Consider the following 25249-nt stretch of genomic DNA (forward strand, 5'->3'; position numbering starts at 1 on the left):
AGCTGGGTGACCAACTCATCCCAGTATGCCCCCAACGTTTCCACTTTTAGCACTGAAATTCTCATGTCCTGGAACCCCTTCAGACCCATGCAAACCTACTTGATGCTTTGCCTGAGTTCATATTATTTTTTTTTAATTTTTTTAGTATTTATTGATCATTCTTGGGTGTTTCTTGGAGAGGGGGATTTGGCAGGGTCATAGGACAATAGTGGAGGGAAGGTCAGCAGATAAACATGTGAACAAAGGTCTCTGGTTTTCCTATGCAGAGGGCCCTGCCACCTTCCGCAGTGTTTGTGTCCCTGGGTACTTGAGATTAGGGAGTGGTGATGACTCTTAACGAGTATGCTGCCTTCAAGCATCTGTTTAACAAAGCACATCTTGCACCACTCTTAATCCATTTAACCCTTAGTGGACACAGCACATGTTTCAGAGAGCACGGGGTTGGGGGTAAGGTTACAGATTAACAGCATCCCAAGGCAGAAGAATTTTTCTTAGTACAGAACAAAATGGAGTCTCCTATGTCTACTTCTTTCTACACAGACACGGTAACAATCCGATCTCTCTTTCTTTTCCCCACATTTCCCCCTTTTCTATTCGACAAAACCACCATCATCATCATGGCCCGTTCTCAATGAGCTGTTGGGTACACCTCCCAGACAGGGTGGTGGCCAGGCAGAGGGGCTCCTCACCTCCCAGACAGGGCGGCGGCCGGGCGGGGGCTGCCCCCAACCTCCCGGACGGGGCTGAGTTCATATTATTATCTTCCTCTCCACTGTCCTGCTTTCCTTACCCCTTATTAGTGTCTATTAGGACTGATTCCTTAATAAATGATTTGCACACAAAGTTGTTTCAGAGTCTGCTTCTGGGGAAACTGACCTAAGATATTCACTTAACTACTGTTTTCTGATCCGTATTCTAACGCCCTATTTTATTAAGTTTCAGCTAGCATTTTGTGATATTTTGGCTCCTATTCTTGCTACCTACAACATGTATCTTCAAGGTTTAATTTCTTACTTCCATAGAGACAATGATGACCTGACTGGTCCAGTTAGTAGCATGATCCTCTTGGGCAAAATTTAGGCACCAAATTCAAAGGTAGCCCATCAGCCTGTAGATTGTCAATTCTTGGGTTAGATAATCAGGCTTGCTGCAATTAGCTGTGGCCAAGAAGGGTGAGAATAAGTGGTCTCTAGCTTGGCTGTCAGCATAACAATCCCTTAGAAGGGAGCTGCAGGATATGGGCACACAGGCATTAAAAGGCTTGTAGCCTATTTAGCACATGCTATTTGTCTTAAAATAGCTTTTATTTTAAAAAATTAAAACAAACAAAGGACTTTATTTTATTAAATGCTTAATTTCTTGCAAATTCAGAAGTCTTATGCTGTGTTACCCGAGAAACATTTTCTGTAAAATTAATACAATAGAAATCAGCTAAAAGGCAAAGTAAAAAGTAGTGGCACAGGACAAATGTTTTGAAAAACCTCATTGTCTTACTGTGCCAAAAGAGAAAATATTAAAGGAATTTAGAAGTAGCAAAATTTGTAGTAATGCCATTTCATTCATTAATGCATATAGTAACATCAATAAGGCACGTAGATCCGTATAATGTACAGCTTATGAATACGTAAGCATGAAAGGTTTTATCTTTTTGCATAATACTAGATGATTCCACTTAAAACATTTTTGGTTTTGATGTGAGATTTTGCAGGCATGAGGCTTGATTTTCTTTTCAAGCTCTGCAATTTGTTTGAACTTATTTACATAAGGAACACCAAATTAGCTTGTTATACTAAGAGTCATTCAAGTATGTCCAATTTGCATTCCCGTATTTGAATCCCACACATTCAATTTAATTTTCTTTCCATTGCTTTTTCTGGCTTTCTTAAAATGATTAAGGATGATATACTTATTTTTGGATGCTTCATAGCTGTACTTCCCAGGAAATTTGCCTAATTCAGAAGATTTTATTATCTTTTATTTTAAACCCACTTTCACTTCAGGAGGATGGCAGAGGTTCTGAAAATTCAAGCATCTCTAAAGATTTTGCATCTATTGCAAAGATTCTTGCTTGTAGGGGCAACAAAGATTCTTGCTTATAGGGGCAATTATTACAGTGTCTATTCTTTTAACATGGGATTGTGTCTGTATCTGTTGTATGGACATTGAAGGTACTTTTAATCCAAGAGATTTTTGATACATTTTTCCTTTTGTTTAAACATTAAGATGATTCCTGGATTTCCTTTCATATTCTTCTGCAGGCAGCCTTTATATTGTCAGGAAATGTCATTTTACTTTACTTGATGAGAACTTCTTCGATGCTTCCTGTTCTCTGTAAAAATACTAGCAGCCTTCAGCCTGAGAACAACAGGCTTCTTTCTGTTCTTTGAAGCATTACTTGACCAAAAGAAAGTTTAGATCAGATTACAGTGTGCCTTGAGACTCTTTGTAGCTTTTGGTCTATATCTTTTCAAATAACCATGGCTTTCACTTTATTGAAAATCTTCAACCTTTTAATTAAAATGACTAGTACACAATATAAAAATCAAATACAACTAAAGAACTTACAATAACTGGCAATGATTCCCTTGGTCTCTCAATCCAACACTTTTGGCACCCAGTCTTTCTAAAGGCAATAAATAACGTTTAATTGAGTGTGGGAGTTCAGTCAGGCTAGTGGGAAACATTTTAAAGATAGTTACAAAAAATAGGCACAAACCTTCTTGGAAGGCCGGGGGTTTGCATAAGCTCCAGTAATAAATCTGGCTGAAGGCAGCCTAATCCTTACCTTGAGTAAATAACTTAGAGGAGGTACACAGGAATGTAAGGGAGCTTATCTAAATAGCTTGTTTACTCCTAAGACCAACCTTTGATTACCCCGGGTGCATAATCGCTCTCTATGCGGGAGGTCAGCTATGTCAATTACCCTCTAGTGGTGTTTACTCAAGACCTTTGTCATTTAATCTCTACTAAATAAATGCGAGCTTTGCTGGCTGAGAGGCGCAGGGGCTGCAACTCTTTACGCACCCTCCTTGGTGTCTGTAAGTGGCCCAGACCCTCAGCGGGACTGACAGGCAAAATATCCGTGTCAGTATACGTTATTCATCCATCGTTGGGTCAGAGTCTGCAGGACAGACCCCAGCAATTGAGGGTTTAGTTGTAATGACTTTTTGTAAAAATCATCTTTAATATAATTCAGCTACCATATTTTAAAATATAATTTTAAAATCTTTTTTTACTTTCTGTTATGACAGATATGATTGAGCCTGCTCATTTCCTGCCACCAGTTTCCCTTTTTTGATATAATTACATCATTTTTGGATTCTTCAACTGGTTTCCTTAAATTAAAAAAAAAAAAAAGAAAAGAAAATCAACATCTCTCTCAGTCTCTTTCCCCTCTCTCTGTTTCCCACTCTCTTTCTCTTTGTGGAAACATAGATGTTATATTGTCTTAAGCCAAAAGGGAAGACATAAAAATAGTTTGTTTACCCAAGTGTAATAACAAGGCCTCCAGTAAGATTTAGATGATTTCTGCTAAGATTTATAATACTGCAATCTTTAGCAGCTAATTGTTATAGGCAGTACTCCAGACACCTCTGTTTCACTTCCTATCTCCAGATTTTTGAGGTTGATGAATAATATTTATAATAACAATAATAACAACTGTTGTTGTAGTACAACAACAGACACTGAGTGTTTAGTGTTAGGCATTGTTACAAATTCCTGTTACACATTTTAAAATCCTTACCACTGTCTTTAAGGTGTTACTATGCCCATTTAACAGATAAGGAATCAGAAGCACAGTGAAATTACGTTATTTATCTGTTCTGGTTACTACTGCTGCAAAATAAAACACCCCAATACTTAAGAACTATTGATTATGCTCATGTATTATATGAGTCAGAAGTTTGAACAGTGTCCAGCAGCTATAGCTTGTCTTTCTTCTAAGCTATCTGGAATTTATGATGGGACTAACCAGAGTTGGGGGTGGTTATCTGCAAGGAATCATCTGCAGGTTTTTCCACTCACAAATCTGGCAGTTGATGGTTGCTTTTGGTTGTAATCTCAGTTGGGGCTGTCAACTAGAACACCTACAGGTGCCCTCTGTGTGTGATCTGGATTTCCTCACAGCACAGTAGCCCAGAGCTGTCAGATTTCTCCATGTTATCTCTGGACTACAAAGAGGGGTGGGGGAAATTGACCCAGTTAATAAGGAGGAAGCTGAATTGCCTTTTATGAACTAGCATTGGGAGTCATGCAATATTACTTCTTTTGCTTTGTGCTGGTTACAAGCAGGTCACAAGCCTGCTGAAATTCAAGGATAAGATTCTAGAAGATAAGGTATTTTTATGTCCATCTTCAGAAAATACATTAAAATCATATGACTTGCAAGTGACATTCTGACTCCAGAGTGCACATATTTTCTGTATATTGTTTCTTACCAATGTAGCTACATTTTACTGCTGCCACTTTTTCTGGGACAGGTCTAGATTTGGGGGTGCATGTCTTCTACTTCTCAAAATGTATTGCTGAGCTTCTCTAGTGTGTCAATCATTGTATTAATTTTCAGCATTGACAATTGTAAACCTAAATCATACCCTCCTGCTTCATGAGGTAAGTTTTTCTCTTATGAATATAAAACTTGGCTTTATCTTCTTCCATCTCTTGGATTTGTTCACGCTTTTCTATATTCTTTCTATGTCTTTCCCTTCTTTTGTGCATTCTTCTATTTCTCTTGAAGCATAACTTTTAAGAGCTTCTTAAGAGGGAGACATGGTGTAAATTTTCTTTGTATGTAAAAGTAAGTCTTACAAATCAATTAAATAACCTACATTTTTATTTTTAAATAACAAACAATATTCTTTGGGTGTTTGAAGGAATTACATTTATGTCTTCTGTTATCTCATTTTGCTATCAAGAAATGTAAGTTTTGTTTTTGTTGTGTTTTTTTCTGGAAAATTCTAGGGCTGATATTCGTGCTTCTCTGAAATTTATAAGTAGATGCATTGGAGTGGCTATAATTTCATTATTTGCTGTAAACATCTGGTCTCCTTTCAATGAGAGATTAAGTCCTCCAGTACTGAAAAATTTTCTTCAGTTATATTTTTGATAATTTCCTATTTCATGTTTCCTTATTTCTTTGTAGAATCTTCTTTATTTAGAAGTTGAACATCATGGATCAATCTTTTAGCTCTTTTTCCCCCACTTATATATTCTCCAGTTACTTGCTTTTTTGTTTTATTTCCCTAAGACACCTAAAATCTCTTTCTGCCAGCCAACCCTTCTGCTTATTTTTGCTTACTTCTGCTACTCTTATTAATTAACTGCTAAGTCTTTTTTATATCTGTATGAGATCACTAATTAGCATTTTACATGTTTCTCTTTTGTTTCTGGTTCTATTGCTGTTTTCTATAGGTTTTTGGATGTTGTTTTATTTCTTGAAAGTTGGAATTATTCTTCAAATGTTTAGAACTGGTGATTGGCTCTGCTCAGAAGTAAAATACTTCTGATTGAAAACTCTTTGAGCTTGGGAGTGTTGGGAGGGTTGTGATTGACAGAGTTTATCTATAATATTTTAGACAGTTTGCCAGATATCCTATTTGGGAAACTCCCAACTGATGCATTGTAAAATGCTCCAATCATTTATCTGGGAGGACACTACCGGTCTGTGTGTGTGTGTGTGTGTGTTGTGTATGTGTGGTAAGTATTTGTCATGGAGACATTTACAGTAACAGTCAAAATTTATCATTATTTTTTAAATATTTATTTATTTAATTCAAATTGATGTGCATTGATCATTATTTTCATAGGAGGAATAAATGCTATAACTATGTAAGCTTACAATTAAATTTTATTTAAAGCTGCCAAAAATTAAATTTATTTAATTTTTAATTTAGAGGCATATAAAATTTGTGTCATTGTTTTCTGATTTTTTAGCTGGAAGAGACAAAAAAAGTGAGGTGAGATTATTTTCTTACTACTTTCTGTTGAAGAATTTGATCTCAAAATTGACATGGTAATATAAGTTCATGACTAAAATCTGGACACATCAAGGTGTTAATATTCAAATTAAAACAGTTATAAGCTTTTCTGATAAACCAAAATATTAGTGAGTGATATTGATGACTATGAATATTCAATTGAGATTTTTTTTTCTAAGTGATCACAAAAGCATAAGAAATTTAAAAATGGAGAGCATTAATAAAAATTAGGTTGCAGGTCAAAATTTTGCATTGTGGAAAACATAATATATATTTATGTGGTTTACAACTATGATCTTCTTGATTCAGTCTAACCACAGGGAGGAAACCCTCCCCTTTATAACATTAACTTAAGGCCAGTTAGAATAAATGTGCCATCATTGTCATTGTCTTTAATCATTGTTTACCGAGCATTTCCGTAATATATACCATTGGCTTCAGTTCAAGAAATCCTGGTTCCTGTCATTGGATAGCTTTTGACCTATATTAAAGAAATGTATTACACAGGAGCAGGATAAGTATGCAGCATATCGTAGGGGACAGATATTGCTAAAGCTTGTTGGTTATGATTTGCTATGGTCTTGCCTATCACAGTAATGTTCAATGCCTTTGACATATGAGAAGGTAGGATTTTAGCAGAATAAATATTTTGTGCTATTTCAGATGTGGGAAGGATACTTTGGATGACATTTTGGAGCCATAAAAAAGTCTAGGCAGCAGGTAGCAAGGACATTAACTTAGCTCAAACAACACATGTTTACATATGATTAGTAAAGTAAAATGAGGCTTTGCTACATTTGACAGGACAGCCTGGAAAATTAACCTCCAAAATGCCCTGAAGGAAGAACAGAAAACAGGATGAAAAAGCACAGACAGTGATAATTGTCATGCAGATATGAGTTAGAGAGACAAATACCCTAAGCCAGCATCTGAGAAATGATAATAAAAGACACATTCGTTTAAAAAATTCACTGAATGTCCAACTGTAATTACAGAAAGAAGGAAACCAAATGCAAAAACAGGAGGCAGTACAATCTCAACATCTAATATTTTCAGGCCAAAGGTTTCAGGGAAAACATCAGAAAATAATTTCAAGTTGAAAGTGGTTGAAGGCAGAGATGAGGTTGTGTAACATGCATTGAAAGGTCTGGCATAAGTTTGCATGTATTTTTAATAATTGGCATATCCATAAAGAAATTCTACTGAGAGGTACCACTGGCAGAGTTGGTATGAACTCAAAGAATGGAGCTAAACAGCCTTGGTTGGAATTCAGCTTCCCAGATTTCTCGTGTTTGACCCTGGGCAAATTGCTTTACTTTTGTGCACTTCATTATAGTACCTAACTCAGAGGGTACTTGTGGGGATTAAATGAGTAAATATACACAAAGTACTAGAACAGCATCTGGTTCATGGCACTAGCAGTTAGTATAATTACAGTTATTATTACTAATGTTGCATTTTTCCCATGCACTTTAAGACATTTTGAAACATTTCTCAATAACTATTTTTTCTTGTCTTTACTTTATTTACTCACTTAATGTGTCAAGAATACAACTAGGTGCCTAGCTCTGGCAATATATAAGACAGAAGCTATAGAAAGGTTGTATTTAGTTATTGATAAGAAGACATACCAGTAGAACAAAATTTTTATTTTAAATTGTATAATTTTCAAGGTCTTTCACTACTATCCATTCCCCTATGACTCAGGCCTCATCAATGACTATTTATATGTACAGCTTTTCAAGTAGGTTTCTTACTACATACATACAGAACAAAAAAGGAGAGTTAATGCTCAACTTCGAACTTGAAAACTTTAGCATTGCACATTAAAAGCAAAGTCTAAAGGATTTGCAGGATAGATTTTAATCAGCAAACCACAAAGCAGAGAAGAACACAGGAGGAAGTAAGAAGTATACTTTTTGTTTTCTTTTCTCTTTTTTTTTTGAGATGGAGTCTTGCCCTGTTGGCCAGGCTGGAATGCAGTGGCACAATGTCAGCTCACTGCCACCTCCGTCTCCCGGGCTCAAGCAATTCTCCTGCCTCAGCCTCCAGCGTGGCTGCAATTACAGGCATGTGCCACCACTCCCGGCTAATTTTTGTATTGTCAATAGAGACGGGGTCTCACCATGTTGGCCAGGCTGGTCTTGAACTCCTGACCTCAGGTAATCTGCCCACCTCGGCCTCCCAAAGTGCTGGGATTACAGGCGTGAGCCACCTCGCCTGGCTCAGAAAAGACCTTTTTATAATAATGTTGGGAGGTAGGAGTGGAGCTGTGAGGAAGAGAAAGATGAAAAATAGTTTAGAGATTACTGTGGGATGCTTCCTACTGCCCTCTACTGAGGCCACATCCTATGTTCTGGAGGAAGAAGATCGAACGGCGTACACTTTCTAGGGGAGGAATCCTAGAGTATAGAGTATTTGTATCTCATTTTCCAGGACATGGTCTAAGAGCACTGCAACCCTCTTAGAGAAGCCCAGAATGGAACCAGAGTAGGGATTAGCAAGGATGGCAAGGCAAGGCAAAAAGGAGTCTGAGGTGGCCTCCTGCTCTCCCAAAGCCCAGAATAGTGTGGGAGAGTTTTCCAAAGTCTCTAGGGCTCCCAAAAGTGCCCAGAAGTAAGAGGGAGTGAGCCACAGAATTGAAAGTTTCTGTTGTTGAATATGCCAACTGAAAACAAAGGAGGGCGTGTAGGACTGTGAACATCAGGTAACCCACGTCATGGTGACAAAGGCCAGTTGCAAGAACTGGCTGACCCATCACATCACTGTGGAAGCCTGTGAGAACAGAGGAGGGTCACAGACCAAAGATGTCCCACTTCTCTTCATCCCTTCCCCATCTTGATTGCTATGGTGCTCTATAGAAGCCCTTCCCACAAAAGAGAACGTTGGGGAAGAAATACTGCATTGATTACTGAGAAGTTACAGGAAAGACTGATTTTTAATCTGGAATTGATTTTTTCTGAATTTGCAAAGTTAAATGATGTGTGTTTGTATATTAGTCCGTTTTCACACTGCCATAAAGAAATACCTGAGACTGGGTAATTTATAAAGGAAAGAGGTTTAATTGACTCACAGTTCCACATGGCTTGGGAGTCCTTAGGAAACTTATAGTCATGGTGGAACGTGAAGGTTAAGCAAGGACCTTCTTCACATGGTGGCAGGAGAGAGAAGTGCAAGCAGGGGAAATGTTAGATGCTTACGAAGCAATCAGACTCGTGAGAACTCCCTCACTATCACAAGAACAGCATGGGGGAAACCATTCCCATGATCCAGTCACCTCCCACTCGTTCCTTCCTCAACACCTGGAGATTACAGTTCAGGATAAGATTTGAGTGGGGACACAAAGCCAAACCATATCAGTTTGTTTGTTCTGTTTGCTGCTGACTGAAAATGGAAAACCATAAATAGTGCAAAGTTCAGTGATAGAAAATGACCTATCCAGTGCATCTGTAGACATCAATTTTCACATGTAGTTATCACCCTAGATACACTTACAAGGAACACTTCAACAACAAGGCAAATAGTATGATTAAGCCCCAGAATCATCAGTGGAGAAATAAGCCCTTTAGGGAAAGGGAAAGATGAGTCAGAATGAGTAGGAAAGGCATAAAGGAGGTTGTAAGGCATTGAGTGGTGAGTTTTAAATAGGCATAGAAGTGAGGAAATGGTGTCCTAGGTCTGAATTAAGCTGCACAGGCAAGGTATGGAACTAAACTGTGGACCTTACCACAAATGAGGAAAAACATTAAAGGATGGATTTTTTGCTCAAAATATGATTTTATTTCACAACTCTGTTTATTCAGTTTGCTTTGCAGACAATGACCTTCCTATTACTCAGAAACTGTGATTTTTCATACAGGTGACCAAAACCCTCTTTCATTGTTCTGTATTAGAAACTAGATTTCACCACTTACTAGCTATGCAACATTGGACACACCTAACTTCTTTGACTTAAGACTCATCATTATAAAATGGGGATAATGAGATAATTACTACATAGGGGTGTTGTCATACAGGATAATCTGTGCCTGGCACGTAGCACACACGTGTTATCTATTATCAATGTAATATTTGTTTTAAAAAACTTTTCTACCCTTGAGGAAAGTGATACTAAATATTCTAGGACATCCAAGTTTCTGAGTTCAGTAGAGGACACAAAAAGGACTCAAGGTCTGGGTTAATGGGGGTTATGTGAATAGGGATTGGAGGGCTTTCTGCATAACTCTGGCAATTATAAAAGACATTTCCTTACTTTCTCTCTATTGTTACAAATAAGCATTTTGTTTGAATCTTCACTTTCCCAGAAGTTTCCTTCCTGGGCTCTTGTCCACTCTGAGTATCTTTTGGGAATGTTTTTTTCAGACAAGGGGCTCTTATTGTATAGAATATTTCACTCAGTTCTCTCTAACAGCTGTGTTTTCAGAAGCCTGTTGAAAAACATGACAACAAAATAAGTCTACTTTGACTCTTTGTCATTCGTACATTTAAAGTTCTTTACATTTTAGTTATTTTAAAAAATTTAAGCTAGCAGAATCTTCAAGAGATTTGGAAACTCATTATTAATCCACAGAGACCTGTGTTGGTTTTTCCATCCCTTTACCATCAACTTGCTACTGTTGTCTGGATCAGAGTTCAATTCAATAAATAGTAATTCTCTGTTTCTTTTCTTCTCTTAATGATGACCTATGGATAATGAATATTGACATGTGGATGACAAATGTTGAATTTGTTTTTGTGAAAAATTCTATTGGTTCTGCTTTCAACGTACTATTCAAATCTGACCATTTTTCATCTTTTTTTTTCACTGCCTCCACTCTAGTCCCAGTCACAGTCATCCCTGGCCTGATTATTGCATCACCTTCCTAGCTGATTTTTCTCTTTCACCCTGGTCCAGCCATGCTGGCCTCCTTGCATTCCCTGATTAGGCCAAGTATGTTGCTTCCTTAGGCTCTTTACACTCCCTTTTTCCTCTTGGAAATACCCTTCCTTCACATAGCTACATGAGCTGCTTCTTCATTTCTTTTATGTCTCGTTAGTTAATGACATTTTCTGAATAACGTCTACCCTGATTCACTTATTGCAAATTGCAATAGGCCCCTCCCCATAGCCACTTTCATTCTTCTTATGATAGTCTTTAGTTTTTTTATAGAAGTTTCATCTTCTTACATGCTACGTAATTTATTTATTAGATTTATTGTTAATCATCTGTCTCCCCCAGCAAAAATGCTATCTTTCTCTTATTTTTTTCCTAAATATATCACAAAGGCAGAGACCACTACCAGGGATACCATAAAAGCTGAGAAATTGTGTACAGAATGTATGGAAGAAAAATGGATATCTTCTTTATTGAAAAAGATATGAAGAGGTGATTTTAGTTTTTCGACATGTAAGCTGGTTCCTTTTTTATTATCTCATTGTGGTTGAGAGATTACATTGCTTAGTTCTATCTTGGGAGTAAATTATGTGCTAAAGTTTTAAAAGTTCTACAAGGGTACTGATAACTGGTTGCTAATGTAGTGATCACATTCAGATTTGTTATCACTCTCTCAATTTTGGGATTCCTCCTTCAACACCCTCTTTTCACATGGTTAATGTGATCCTATGTATGGGTTATAATCAAACCTGTTCCTTCCACTCAGATACAACATTGCCCTTGGTGGTCTGATGAAGTTTGCAAATCTAATATGTTCTGAACATTACAGCCAGTGAATATTAATTAATAACTAATGACCAAGCCTTAAAGCAGGCAAAAGAAAGAGCAGAATGTAGTTTTGACTAATTGAATGTATGATGAATTCAGGAAGAATCACGTTATAAAGAGAGGAAAGTTTTCCTTATTTATCAAGATTCTATTTTATGTGAATTATAGTTCTATTGAATCTCATTTTTCTTTTGCTGCATATAAAAATGATTGGAGTCTGGACAACAAAGTGAGACCCTGTCTCTATAAAACAAAAACAAAACAACCCCCCTGCCCCCCTCAAAAAAAAAACCAATTAGCTGGGTGGTGGTGTGTGCCTGCAGTCCCAAGAACTTGGGAGGCTGAGGCAGGTGGATGGCTTGAGTCCAGGAGCTCGAGGCTGCAGTGAACTGTGATTGCACCATAGCACTCCTGCCTGAGTGACAGAGTGAGATCTTGTTTGCAAAAACAAATAATAAATACAAAATAAATAAATAATAAAATTATTTGAAAATCAAGTGTATATTAGACATAGGAATATTTCTTTCATCTTTTTTTTTTATTTTTTATTTTTGTCAGAGTCTCACTCTCTCCCAGGCCAGAGTGCAGTGGCATGATCTCAACTTCCACCTCCCGGGTTCAAGCAATTCTCCTGCCTCAGCCTCCAGAGTAGCTAGGATTACAGGCATGCACAACCACTCCCAGCTAATTTTTGTGTTTTTAATAGAGATGGGGTTTCACCACGTTGACCAGGCTGGTCTCGAACTCTTGACCTCAGATGATCCGCCTGCCTCGGCCTCCCAAAGTGCTGGGATTACAAGCATGAGCCACCGTGCTCAGCCCGGAATGTTTCTATGTGGGAAGCAAAACCATTCTTTAAGGTTTTCCAAATAAGCATAAGTTTGAAAGAAGGAGAGAATAACCATTTGGTAGAAATTGTGAAATATTAAAAGTATGATTGTGGGTGGATCTGGGAGAGATTTAGCCCACTGATCCAGAACATCTTTGAATAAACCTTCCGTGTAGACCAAAAGTCTTGAATGTTTGCCATGTGATAATCTTTGCTTCATCTGGGAAAGATGGATTTGGCAAACTCTTACTGTTGCTTCTTAGGCATGGTGTGCAAGGCATTGAAGGTTATGTTCCACTGAGAAAATATATGCAATTTACAAAGTAAGAAAATGGAAGCTCAAAATAATCTGGGAATTACTTTTTTCCTCTTTATAAAAATAATTATTCATAATAATTACTTATTACTTTTTTTAAATAAAAGACGATTGCCACAAAATGCCCCAAGAAAGTAAGATAAGTTATAGCTGACGTCATCTTATCTAGGTTATTAAAAAGGCTCAGGAAGTCGAGTTTCCATCTCACTTTGAGAGTGTTACCAAGTGTTACCAATGGTATTCTTTTTCCTTGAACAAATCTCTCTCTTTTTTTTTTCACCTCCCTAAAAATAAGAGTAATTTAGCTGGTCAGAATTTTTAAATTAAACTGAGGTCTAGTAGAAAAAGACTGAGAAATGTGTAAAAGTAATATGTAATTATTGCATGATATGTTTTATGAATTTGAGTAGAAATATAGGAATAATCACATTTCCACTGATTTCTATCTTCTGGAACTCTAAATATTTATTTGACCACTCATGAAAAGATTCAGTTAATTAGGGACTCGTAAAAAGAGAAGAGCATTTTTCCTGATTTTGGCAAAGATTTCTAAATAGCAGCATTATTGTATAAGCACTTGAATAATGTGGATGTATCATAAATTATACCTGATTGATAATGGATTTTTAGTATATAGTTTACTAGACTGACCAAGAATTACAAGTGGGGAGGGTGAGAAACAATTATCTTATATTATATTTAGATCAATAGAGTCATATGTTTTTTATAATTTAACATGTGATATATTATTTTACAATTTCTACTGTTGGTACCTATTATGTTTAATCACTACAGTAGGGATTATCTCCCAGGAGGCATACCATGGGTTCTAATCAGAATTGTGGAAGTCGTCAATGAGAAATGAAACACATTGCTTCAGTGAAATTGTCTAAAAAAAAAAAAATTATATTCAACATAATAGTCTTTGTTTTTTTTTTTTGAGACGGAGTCTTGCTCTGTCGCCCAGGCTGGAGTGCAGTGGTGCAGTCTCAGCTCACTGTACCCTCTGCCTCCCGGGTTCAAGCGATTCTCCTGCCTCAGCCTGCCAAGTAAATGTGACTGCAGGCACGTGGCACCACGTCAGGCTAATTTTTGTATTTTTAGTAGAGACAAGGTTTCATTATGTTGGCCAGGCTGGTCTCGGATTCCTGACCTTGTGATCCACCCACCTCGGCCTCCCAAAGTGCTGTGATTACAGGCGTGAGCCACCGTGCCCGGACAACATTATAGTCTTACATGTTAAGTGAAAAAAAATGTTTTTTAATAGTATGAGCTGTAAAAAAGAAAAACTAGCTTGATTACAGTTGAGGTAGTGGAAATATGCAGAATGTAAATCATTTGGTACCAGCTATGTAGTTAATAAGATTGATAGCCCATGTTTATTACTTACCATTTTCTTTGTGGGCATTTAAAGCATCATTTTTATAGCTAGCTCAATTGTGTGTCACAAGCATCTGTCAGAATATAATCCCAAATCCTCATAAGTGTTTACAATGCCCTACACACTCTGGTCTTGGGCTACTTCTACTACTACTCTTCCCATTTTTGACTCTGTTCTAGCTTGTTGCCTTTATATCTGCAGCCCCCCACCTAATATGTTCTTCTCCTGGAATCCCCATAGGTAGATGCTAAGAACTGCATTCAGATCTCGCCTCTGAAGTCACCACATCAGAGATGCCCATGTTGCCAGACTCTATCCCAACCCTTCCCACCCCTCTCTATTCCATTACCCTACATCATTTTTCTTTAAGCACTTATTACAGTAGGATATTATATATTTAGTAGTTTATTTGTTTTGTTTAAAATTTTCTGTGTCTTTCAACAAAAATAGTAAGAACAGGGTCATTGTTTTGTTGAATATATCACCAGAGCTTAGAATAGGTCCTGGTCCATGACAGACACTTGACAATTGATGAATGAATGAAATGAGTAAATGGGGAGACAGCTGGTATTAAGGGATGCTTTGAAATGGACACTGCAATTCTATCATTCAGCATTCAGATTGTCTCACTCTATCCCTTTTCTTTTTTCCTTTCACTTTATTTTTTAAAACTTTTCTTTGGATATCTGAATATAGCAGTTGAAACAAAACAAATCAAAAAACAAATCCTCTGAATATTTTATGAGGCTTATGATAAGTCCAGGCTTATACGTATTGCCAAGGATGACATTCAGTTTAACCGGTGTGATTCACGTCAAAACTGCTGAGCAACACCATAATGTATCCCTCATATCTGAATAGTATTTTAGTTAAAAAGAAGCATATATCTATCTATCTCTCTATCTATATAGATAGAGAGAGAGATAGATAGATAGATAGATAATTTTTTAAGGCTAGACTTTCTCCAAGGTTAATTATTTGTTTTACGTGTGTGTGTTTGGATATCTTGAAATGTTTAATCTGGAACCCTCAGCTTGTGAACCTCTTTTTTAAAAAAACCTGTTGCTTGTTTTGTTTTGGTGAAAATTACTCTAAGAGGAGTTTTCCTAATTTAATACAAATTTTGGTAACCAAAGTAATTTTTAGAAAATCAGTTTGGAAAAATTAAAGGTAAAACCTATCTCAGTTTATTCCCAAATATGTGAATATATTTATATTTTACCCAAATTCTTCCATTTTTATCAATATTCAGTTGTAAGGCTTGTCCCTCTGTGCTTTTGAGAGGTGGAGCCGGCTGGGCTTCTGGGTGGGGTGGGGACTTGGAGAAATTTTCTGTCTCCTAAAGGATTGTAAACACACCAATCAGCACTTTCTGTCTAGCTAAAGGTTTATAAATGCACCAATCAGCACTCTGTAAAAATGCACCGGTCAGTGCTCTGCATCTAGCTAAAGGTTTGTAAGTGCACCAATCAGCACTCTGTAAAAACAGACCAGTCAGCACTCTGTAAAAACAGACCAGTCAGCACTCTGTAAAATGGACCAATCAGCAGGATGTGGGCAGGGACAAATAAGGGAATAAAAGCTGGCCACAGGAGCCAGCAGCGGCAACCCGCTGGGGTCCTGTTCCGCGCTGTGGGAGCTTTCTTCTTTTGCGCTGCATAATAAATCTTGCTGCTGCTCACTCTTAGGGTCTGCCCTACCTTTATGAACTGTAACACTCACTGCGAAGGTCTCTGGCTTCACTCCTGAAGTCAGTGAGACCATGAACCCACCAGGAGGAACAAACAACTCTGGACATACGACTTTCAAGAGCTGTAACACTCACTACGAAGGTCTGCAGCTTCACTCCTGAAGTCAGTGGGACCACGAACCCACCGGAGGGAATAAACTCCAGATACATCTGAACATCCGAAGGAACAAACTCCCGACACACAATCTTTAAGAACTGTAACACTCAGCGCAAGCCCACCAGAAGGAACCAATTCTGGGCACACTTTGGGCTATGAAAATATAACAGTGTAATAAGTTTAATGGCAAAAGTGTGCTATGTCTTCAAATATACCTAGATTGATTATATTAATATTACAATAAGCAACTAACTCACATTTATTCCTCAATTGTTTCCTTTTTTTTTGAGACAGAGTCTTGCTCTGTCAATGAGGCTGGAGTGCAGTGGCGGGATCTTGGCTCACTGCAACCTCTGCCTCCCGGGTCCAAGTAATTCTCCTGCCTCAGCCTCCCAGGTAGCCAGGAATAAGGCCCGTGCCACCACGTCCAGCTAATTTTTGTATTTTTAGTAGAGACAAGGTTTCACCATGTTAGACAGGCTGGTCTCAAACTCCTGGCCTCAGGTGATCTGCCTGCTTCAGCCTCCCAAAGTGCTGTGATTATAGGCGTGAGCCACTGCACCCGTCCCCTCAACTGTTTCCTGATTGGAGTGAAAATGAAATATTTTTAAATATTAAAATAATGTTTTCTTTTATAATTATCGTTGCTCTGTGTTTAGATTTTTCTTAAATTTTAAATAACATTAAAGAAGAGCAAGAGTGTTTTTGTTATACTAAAATGTTTTGCCAACAATTTGAAAGAAAATAATTTATCCAGCTTGGGCAACATGGTGAGACCCCCATCTCTACAAAAATTAAAAAAATTAGCCAGATGTGGTGGTGCGTCCTTGTAGTCCTAGCTACTTGAGAGGCTGAGGTGGGAGGATCAATTGAGCCAGGGAGGTCAAGCCTGCAGTATGCCGTGATCATGCCACTGTACTTCAGCCTGTGTGACAGGGTGAGACCCTGCCTCAAAAAAGAGAAGGAAAGAAAGAAAAGGAGAAAGAAAGAGCAAGAAAAAGAAAAAAGAAAGGAGAAAGAAAAGAAAGGAGAAAGAAAAGAAAGAAGCAAGGAAAGAGAAAGAAAGCAAGAAAAAGAAAGGAAGAAGGAAGGAAAATAACTTTTACAAAAGCATTATTTGTAAACTTAAATTTCTCTTTTGTCACTTGCTATTGAGAGTAAACAGATTCTATTTACAGTAGAACCCCATATCTAGATAGTCTGAGCCAGTATGTGGTATGCAGAAAAATTAGTCCTCCTCTTTCTGGGATCCTCTCCTGAGCTCAGTGCTAATTCTTTCTGTTGTCCCTTGGAAAAGGGCTACCTAACACATAATCTGTACATGTGAGACACTGTCGGCAGCTTTGCCCTTCCTCTGCCCTGGCAGCCATGGCTTTTGCCATGGTTCTGGGCTGACACCTCTACAGGGCTGATCCTCACCACCTATTTGCTCCCCACCCATTTGCTGCCTTCTTTAGATTGAGTCCCTCCAGGAATTTTCTCTCTTACAGAATAACTTTTTCTGCTTTTCTCCCACCAGCTCTCAGATTCTTTTTCCACCTTGGAGCTGTTGGACACAGTTATTTCCTTTATCATTTATCTCCTTCCCGTACCATCCAGATCTGGGAAACCGGGGTAAAAGATGCTGAGGTGGGACACGTATCAATAAAAGTGAGGCAGCAGGCTGGATAGGGTGTTGGTTAGGATGGGTAGGTGTTGTCTAACTTTAAATCTGAAACAAATAACGCCCACAATATCCATACCTTGCATCTCAGACTGGCCCTTTGTACTGTGATTTTCTCTTCCTCCCTCCTTCCCTCTCTCCCTTCCTCCTTTTAATATATTCTAGGCATTTATGTGCCAGCATTATGAAAAACCTTTCAGACACCTTATTACAACAAGTGACCCCTAATCAAAACATATCTACGTTCCAGTTTTAACAGTGTTCCCGTTCTATTCCCTCTATGCTTACTCTGAGTTCTAGGGGAAAGCCTCTCATTCCCTCAATTAATATCAGGAATTCCTATGTTTTCTCCTTCTGTCACTCCAAAAAAAAAAAAAAAGTCTTGAGAACAAGAAAACAAATCTTCCAAATGACTCAGGAAAAGTTTCCGCGTATCCGAAACACATTGTGCCTTTTATTTCAGTGACACAGAGTCTGCACAATGCCCACAAACCACCTCCAGGGGGCAGTGTGGCCCAGTGCTGCTCCTAGGATGTTAAACATTCAAAACCTCAGGATGGTTTTTGTGGATTGGTTTCTCTGTTTGGTTAATGAACCATTTCTAGGGAAAAGGTCTCTAAAGGAAAACACAGTTTGTCATTTTATCATTCCCTCTTTGTGCTCTTTTTCTGGCATATGGTAAATAGAAAGACGGCCCTGAGGACATAGCGTTTAGGACTGAAAGCAGAGAGTACTGGATTCAGAGGAAATGCCTTAATTGGGAGATTTGTGTCCTTGTTGTCAGGTCTCACTGGGGAGGCAAGAAGAAGAAAGATATGGATTCCTGACATTTGTTGAGAGGATGGTTGGCTTTCTCCTCTTAGATTTTAGAGTGAGTGTAGAGCTTTTCAGAGCTCTTAAAGGTTCTTAAGTGTATGAGTATTTGCTGTTAGGGCATTTGCAGACCCTGACGAAAAGGAGCCCAGCCAGAGGAGACCAGGATCGTGAACTGCGGTAGACGAGGCTCGCCCAGCACAGAAAGATCTAACTCCTTGTGATATACCCCATGGATATTCAAACAATATGGGGTATTATTGGACTATTATCATAATATGGATATTTTAGATCACATAATTTGGGTTGATGCTGTGTTATTTTAGACTCCTAAAATTGCTTTTAAAAATGTATAGATATAGCACATGAAAAATTGAAGAGGAAAATGACTCCTTATAATACAAAGATTTTTATACCATCAGTTAATCTCACTAAAGGTTAGGTTGGCATTTACTAATATTTTTTAAAAATATGTAAGACTAGGAAATGTGAAAGGGCTTGCAGGCTATGGACATTTTTACCCTATATGCATATTTTTAAGTGCCTTCTATGTTGTTGTAGGAGCCGAAGGAAAGCTTTACCTTCAACTTCTGAAGATGTGTTAAAAGTCACTGACAAGAGTCAAATTAATAACAGAAAAGGCATACAAATTTAATTGATCATAGTTTTACATAACACAGGAGCCTTCAGAATGAAGATCCAAAGATACAGAGGAATTGTACATTTTAATGCTTAGGGTCGACAAAATATGGACAGCCATGTACAAATACGATTGGGCAAAAAGAGAATGATCTACTGCCAATAGAGTTGGGAAACCCAGCAAGGCCTGTCTGTCTAGACTCCTCTTGGCCTCACTGCGCAGCATTCGTTCCTCCTTGGTGTGTGGCAGGACCCTCTATGGAAAGAGGGTGTTATGACCTACAATTAAAAAAGGTAGGTCAGTTAATTTCTTTATGGCCCATTTTTATACAGAATGGTGGGTGATGGTTAGAATAATATTTTCAGGTTTTAATGGCTGGCTCCAGGGGAAAAGGAGCTCTGGTTTCTATGACCCACCTTGGAAAGAAGGAATCTAGGTTTTATGGTGGGCCTGGGGGAGAATGGAGAGGCCAGAGCCATGAGGGTAGCAGAAGGTCAGAGAGAGCTGCTTCTAAGGCCATCATTTTGGAGTATCATTTTCAGAGACCCTACAATGTGTTCTAGTATAAGCTTGAAAACAGATCAACTTAATTTCCTCCATTTCGAGGAAAAGGTTTAAAATTTGACTGCCTTGAAGTTAAAAGTATTGAAAGGGCAAGTCCTATAGATTATGGAGTAGAGGCATTGCCCTCTGAGTAAGCCACATATATGAGCAACACCAATTACTAAAAACTTGAGAAAGATTTGCAAAATTGCTTTGTCAATGGAAGGTAAAGCTTAAATAAATACAACTATTTTCTCCCTTTACCTTAAGAGGGTATTGCTAGTTGTGCAACCATTAAGTTTTGTGCTCTCTCCTCATTGCTCGTACCATTCTCATTCTGCCTACCTATGAGACCTGACTTGTATTTTCATATTAGGATAAACTAATTGATGCAACCAAAAACAGATTCACTGTGAAGCTATTGATGGTTAAGCTCCAGGGTCCTTTCCTTGCCAAGGCCTCTTTGAGAGCTGGGAGATGCTGGAAGTTTTAAGGAGTTTTAGGTGGGAAGAGTAAGTCAAGCAACCAACAAGCATTTTTGCCTAAGAAATCATGCTAATTGCCAATAGAGATATCAGAAGAAAAGAACTTAAATTCCTAAGGTTTCTATAATTTATTGAGATTTTAAAAATCTTATTCTAAAGTAAATTCACTTTTGTGAATTTTGTGTTTGTAATTTATATTATTTTTCGTAAAGAGGATCTCCCAAACTCTATAAGCTTAAGATTGACAAAATCTGGGTTCTTCTCTGACTGCAACAAGTAAATGCAAAAATATGGGAGAGTGTAAACATAATGAAAATGTTTTCTTGCTCACGTAATGCAGTAGTATCAGTGAACGGGCTGGTGGGGCAGCCCTTCACACAGTCATTCAAGACTCAGGATAATGAACATTCTGTCATTCTTAATAAGGCTTCCAAGGTAAGTGTGGGTCATCAGCATTCTGGGCAATCAGAAGAAGAAACGCATGCAGGGGAGGATTTTATGGGCCAGCTGAGGACAGATGCACTTGACTTCGTTCACATTCCACCGAGTCAGTCATATGGCTGTAACCAAATGCAAGTGAAGAAGGGAAATGTTACCTAGCAGGGTGCTCAGGAAGGAGAGGTGAAGATGGATTTGGGGTGAGACTCTGCATAGGCTCTGCAACAACTAAATTCAGTTAAAGATTTTTGTGGTCAAGGCATATAGTTTGTACAGATGTGCCTGTTTTGGGAATATAAATAATTTGCTAAAGCATGAAAAAAACTTCTGAAAAATATATATAGAATAAGATTTAAAATCTTAATCTACCACTGTGTTTATCTAGCATAAATGAATTCAATGAACTCGCATAAACAATGTGGACTAATAATTGACTAAACAGAAATTATGCATTCTAGACTTTAGAATCTAAAGAGATTATTCACAGTGTAGCACCACAAAACAGGAAGATTCAGGGCATTTTACCCTCTTTCAGTAATTGAGGTCAGGTGAATACCTGGAACAATAGCAGCACTGTGGATACTTAATCATCTACGTACTATTGAACCAAGGAAGAACACTCTGTGAAATGGAAATTAATTGTGTAATATCTTTTAATATGTTTGCTTAAAATGAATGTGCAAATATCATAAGGCTTGATGGAACATATGATGATGAAGTCATCTCAAATTACATGGGGAATTAGAATGCACAGAAAATTTACTGAGTAGCAAAGAAAGTGATTTTCAAAGTGAATGCTAAAATTCTTAAAATGAAAACTGTAAAGCTTAATTTGCAGACTCTTTGAGAATCAAATTAATTCAAATGTACATAGATGAACTTTGTTAATTGTAAAGTACTATAGAAATATAAATAATCCTTATTGCCATTTTAAGTATATTCTAAATTTTTCTTTTTGATCTCCTGCAAACCTAAACAGTATATTATAGATGTCCAAAAATGTATTTATTTGCAAACACTTTTTATAACTTGGGAACTTTTTTCTGAGATAAACCTCTGAAATTTTTAATTTTTAATAGTAAATATGATTTGATGTGTGTTTGCTTTATACCTCACTTTCCAGGAAAGTAGCTGATGTTTAAGAATAGCATAAATTAAGCTTGAGAGCCATATTCACAGTTGAAGTAAAAAAAAACACACACACATTTTTTACCTCAAGATGATTATTCTTTCCTTTTTAAAAACTCTCATTAACAGATTCTGCTTTGTACATTGACCTGGTTTCCATTTTAACTTGTATGCATTTTCTACTAGATAAAAGTAAGTAATCTTGAAGTGTTTTTATTACCACAACCTGGAAGAATGCTCAAAATTATAAAAGATGGGCAAGAATATGATATTTTAAATAATAAATAATCAGATACCCAAAGCAGTAAATGTGTTCTAAGAAGCATCTTATTAATTTCAAAACTGTTACTAATAATTATATTTATACAGAAGCTAACACAATGCTATAAAAAGAAATTTTGATCATATGTTTCAAACACTAGCTATTGATCTGGTTAAGGTAATATTACATGGTTAGTGTAGCTTACAGCTGAGTGTCAATACCTGACCCTTTTGCTTTCAAACTGACTTTATCTAAAGCTTCAAATTCTCATCTATAAAATGCAAATATTAACTAGCAATTTTTTAAGGCTTCAGATGCTAGGACATTTTGTGAACTAGACTAACACTATCCTGATAATTCCAGATTATTTTTTAGGAAGCTTCTATATATTTAAAAGTCTATTTGGAATGTAGTTCAGAAACTACTGCAACTTTTTATATGAATATGAACAGGGATTGAAGCAAATATTTTTGGTACAAAAATGAGTGACACAAAATATTATGAAATAAAATTCTTTATGTTTTGTATAAAGACCATCTTAGAGGTCAAGGAAGTAATGGGAAATTCATTAAATAACAAATGTCACCAAATAACACAAAGTCTCTAGATAGCAGTGTATGTAATAAAGGACAAAATGAGTAGTTCAGAGAGCAAGTGCTATAAGAATAGTCAGAAATCAATGTGGGCTTCTTTAGCTGGGGGAGGCTGCTTGGAGCAAGTGTTTGTATTGGCTTTGACACACCAATATAGCTTGTTTCAGTACAGAGAAGAGGAGCAGCAAAACCATTTCATGTGCAATGCTCAAAAAAAGAAAAAAAGATCTAAATGTCAGAATTATTAATTATTTTTAAGATAAGTAAAAGACTCCTCTTCTGTATACCAATGAGAAGATATAATATGTAAATTGGGACACACTTGAATGCCAGACAGAGCAGGGTAAGCTTTACTCCTTAAAGAAATGTGGAGTTGGACTTCTGCTTCCAGAAAAATGGAGTAGACATATTTTTCCTGATTCCGCCCATTAAGTAAAACTGAAAACCTGAAACATTTATATATAGGTCAAACATAAGACCTTAAAAGGTGGAGAGAAGGAGGCAGACAAGCTAGGGAACTGAAGACCCAAGGAACAGCATGGTAATGAGTTCCATTGTTTTTTTGTTTTTGTCTCCTCATATATCCCCCAGACTTGGAGCTAAAGCAGCTGTCAACCTGGAAGTACCAATGGACACTGACAAAACAATAAACAAATCTCCAACAAAAGCCTGTTCTCTCTAGCCAAAAATCCAAGACAGTCTTGAGAAGACTAGTAAGACAGAAAACTTTTAGACAATAACAGCTCTACTCCAGCCAGCCACAACAACAATAACAAAAAAACTGTGGCTCTACCCCACCCATGGCAAAAGCCAAGTGGGGAAGCCAAGCTTTCCACTCATGCCTGACTGTGACAAGGCACTCACCCTTCCTTCCAGGGTAACGTCTGGGAAAGCTGAGTAAGGAATTGGTAGTTTCATTCTCACTGGGTGGTAAGGAGTCCACCTTACTGTTAGCAGAGTCCACATGACTTTAGTAGTGTTGGTAGTTGTGGTGGTATTATTAGTAGAGGCCATTTAGGGAGCCATGACAAGGCACTCATATCCATCGCAGTCAGTGAGTTACCAGCAGACACCTCGTGTGGAGTTGGAAGTCCCAACCCTAGCAGTTGGAGACAGACTCCCTGCTACAACTTGAGAGTCAACAGAGGCCAAATAAGGAACCTGGAGACCTGGGCATTTATCCCACAGAAACGGAACTTATACCCACCCAAAAGGTTACCCAAAAATATGTGTAGTAGTTTTAATTATAGTAGTCAGTAACTGGAAACAATCCAGATGTCCTTCAAAAAGTGAATGGTTAAGCAAACTGTGGTACTTCCATTTCTTGGGAAATTACTCAGTAATTTAAAAAAAATTGTTAATGCAACAACCTAGATGACTATTCAGAGATTTGTGCTGAGTGAAAAAAGCAATCCCAAAAGGTTGTATCTTGTAATTCCATTTATGTATTTTTCCTGAAATGACAAAACTGCAGAAATGTAGAACAAATTAGTGGCTGCCAGGTGTTAAGGAGAAGGTGAAGATAAGAGAAAAATGTGTGCAGCTATAAAAGTGCAACATGAGGGATCCTTGTGGTAGTGAAACTATTCGGTATCTTGCTTATATCAATGTCAGCATGTTACTTGTGATTTTGTGGTGTTTGATTTTTTTGGCGTTGTTATAGTTTTTCCATTGGTGGATATTGGGTGAATAGCCCATGAGATATATCTGTATTATTTCTTCCAACTGCATGTGAATCTACAATTATCTAAAAATTAAAATTTTAATTAAAAATGGAGCTAATTGGGTGTTTTTTCTATTTTTCAAAAAGTATCATTATAGGTATTGATTAGAAGTTAGAACCTGGAGGAGGACCAAATAGGAGACCAAAATTAAATTATCAGCCATTAGTCCCTTCCATCTTAGGAAAATAAGCTCATTATAAGTATTTAAATACTTATTTCATTAATCATAGTATTTCATAAGAACAGTTGACTGGTGTTAGCAATGTAGATTTGTAGAGCTGCCACATCCCAAGGTATCACTGTCTTTTACCAAAAAGAGCTCAATCCTCCCCCACGATGAGATTTCCTGCTATGTAGTGCTCAAAGACCAGTGAAATGGGAACAGTGATTACAACACAAACATCATATTTAGATCTAGTCCCTAGCATTTCTAGTGGCAGGAACAGAAATAGAAAATGGATTATTAGGATGATTTTACCATAAACATATTTTTAACCAACAGGATATACTTATATTCATGCCACAAACTGAAAAACAGATTTTCTTTTAACATGATAGTCTTGATCTAATGTTAGAATATGTATTCCAAGATTGTTAATGTTGGCCTAATAATGTATGAATTAAAGGAAGAGATGAGGAAATATGTCAGGGAGACTTCTGATATTTCAGATGCACAATGTATTTCAAATATAATTTATATTATATTTAAATAATTTACACATATAATTTATACTTGAAAAACAGAGCCAGTTGGTTTTCTCCTTGCCTTTATTAGCAACATCTATTAGATCATTACATAATACATGTAGTGGACACAAAAGTGTGCAAAATGTCATATGATACTTTGATAAAAACAGGCTAAACATATGTTTAATTTACCAAAACTACACATAAGAACAATGACTCGT

At 37.3% G+C, this 25249-nt stretch overlaps 1 long non-coding RNA gene across 2 annotated transcripts; it reads left to right on the forward strand.

The window, feature by feature from the left end:
* The first annotated feature begins 4254 nt into the window (after positions 1-4254).
* Positions 4255-24394, forward strand: LOC105377503 (uncharacterized). Of its 2 annotated transcripts, none has more exons than XR_939374.2 (3): positions 4255-4338; positions 19090-19461; positions 23209-24394. It is a non-coding gene; the product is annotated as an uncharacterized LOC105377503 (long non-coding RNA). The 2 variants fall into 2 exon arrangements; XR_939375.3 differs by lacking the exon at positions 4255-4338 and adding an exon at positions 18375-18586.
* Positions 24395-25249: the final 855 nt, after the last annotated feature.

Source organism: Homo sapiens, chromosome 4 (assembly GCF_000001405.40).
Source record: "Homo sapiens chromosome 4, GRCh38.p14 Primary Assembly".
NCBI classification, from domain to species: Eukaryota; Metazoa; Chordata; class Mammalia; order Primates; family Hominidae; genus Homo; species Homo sapiens.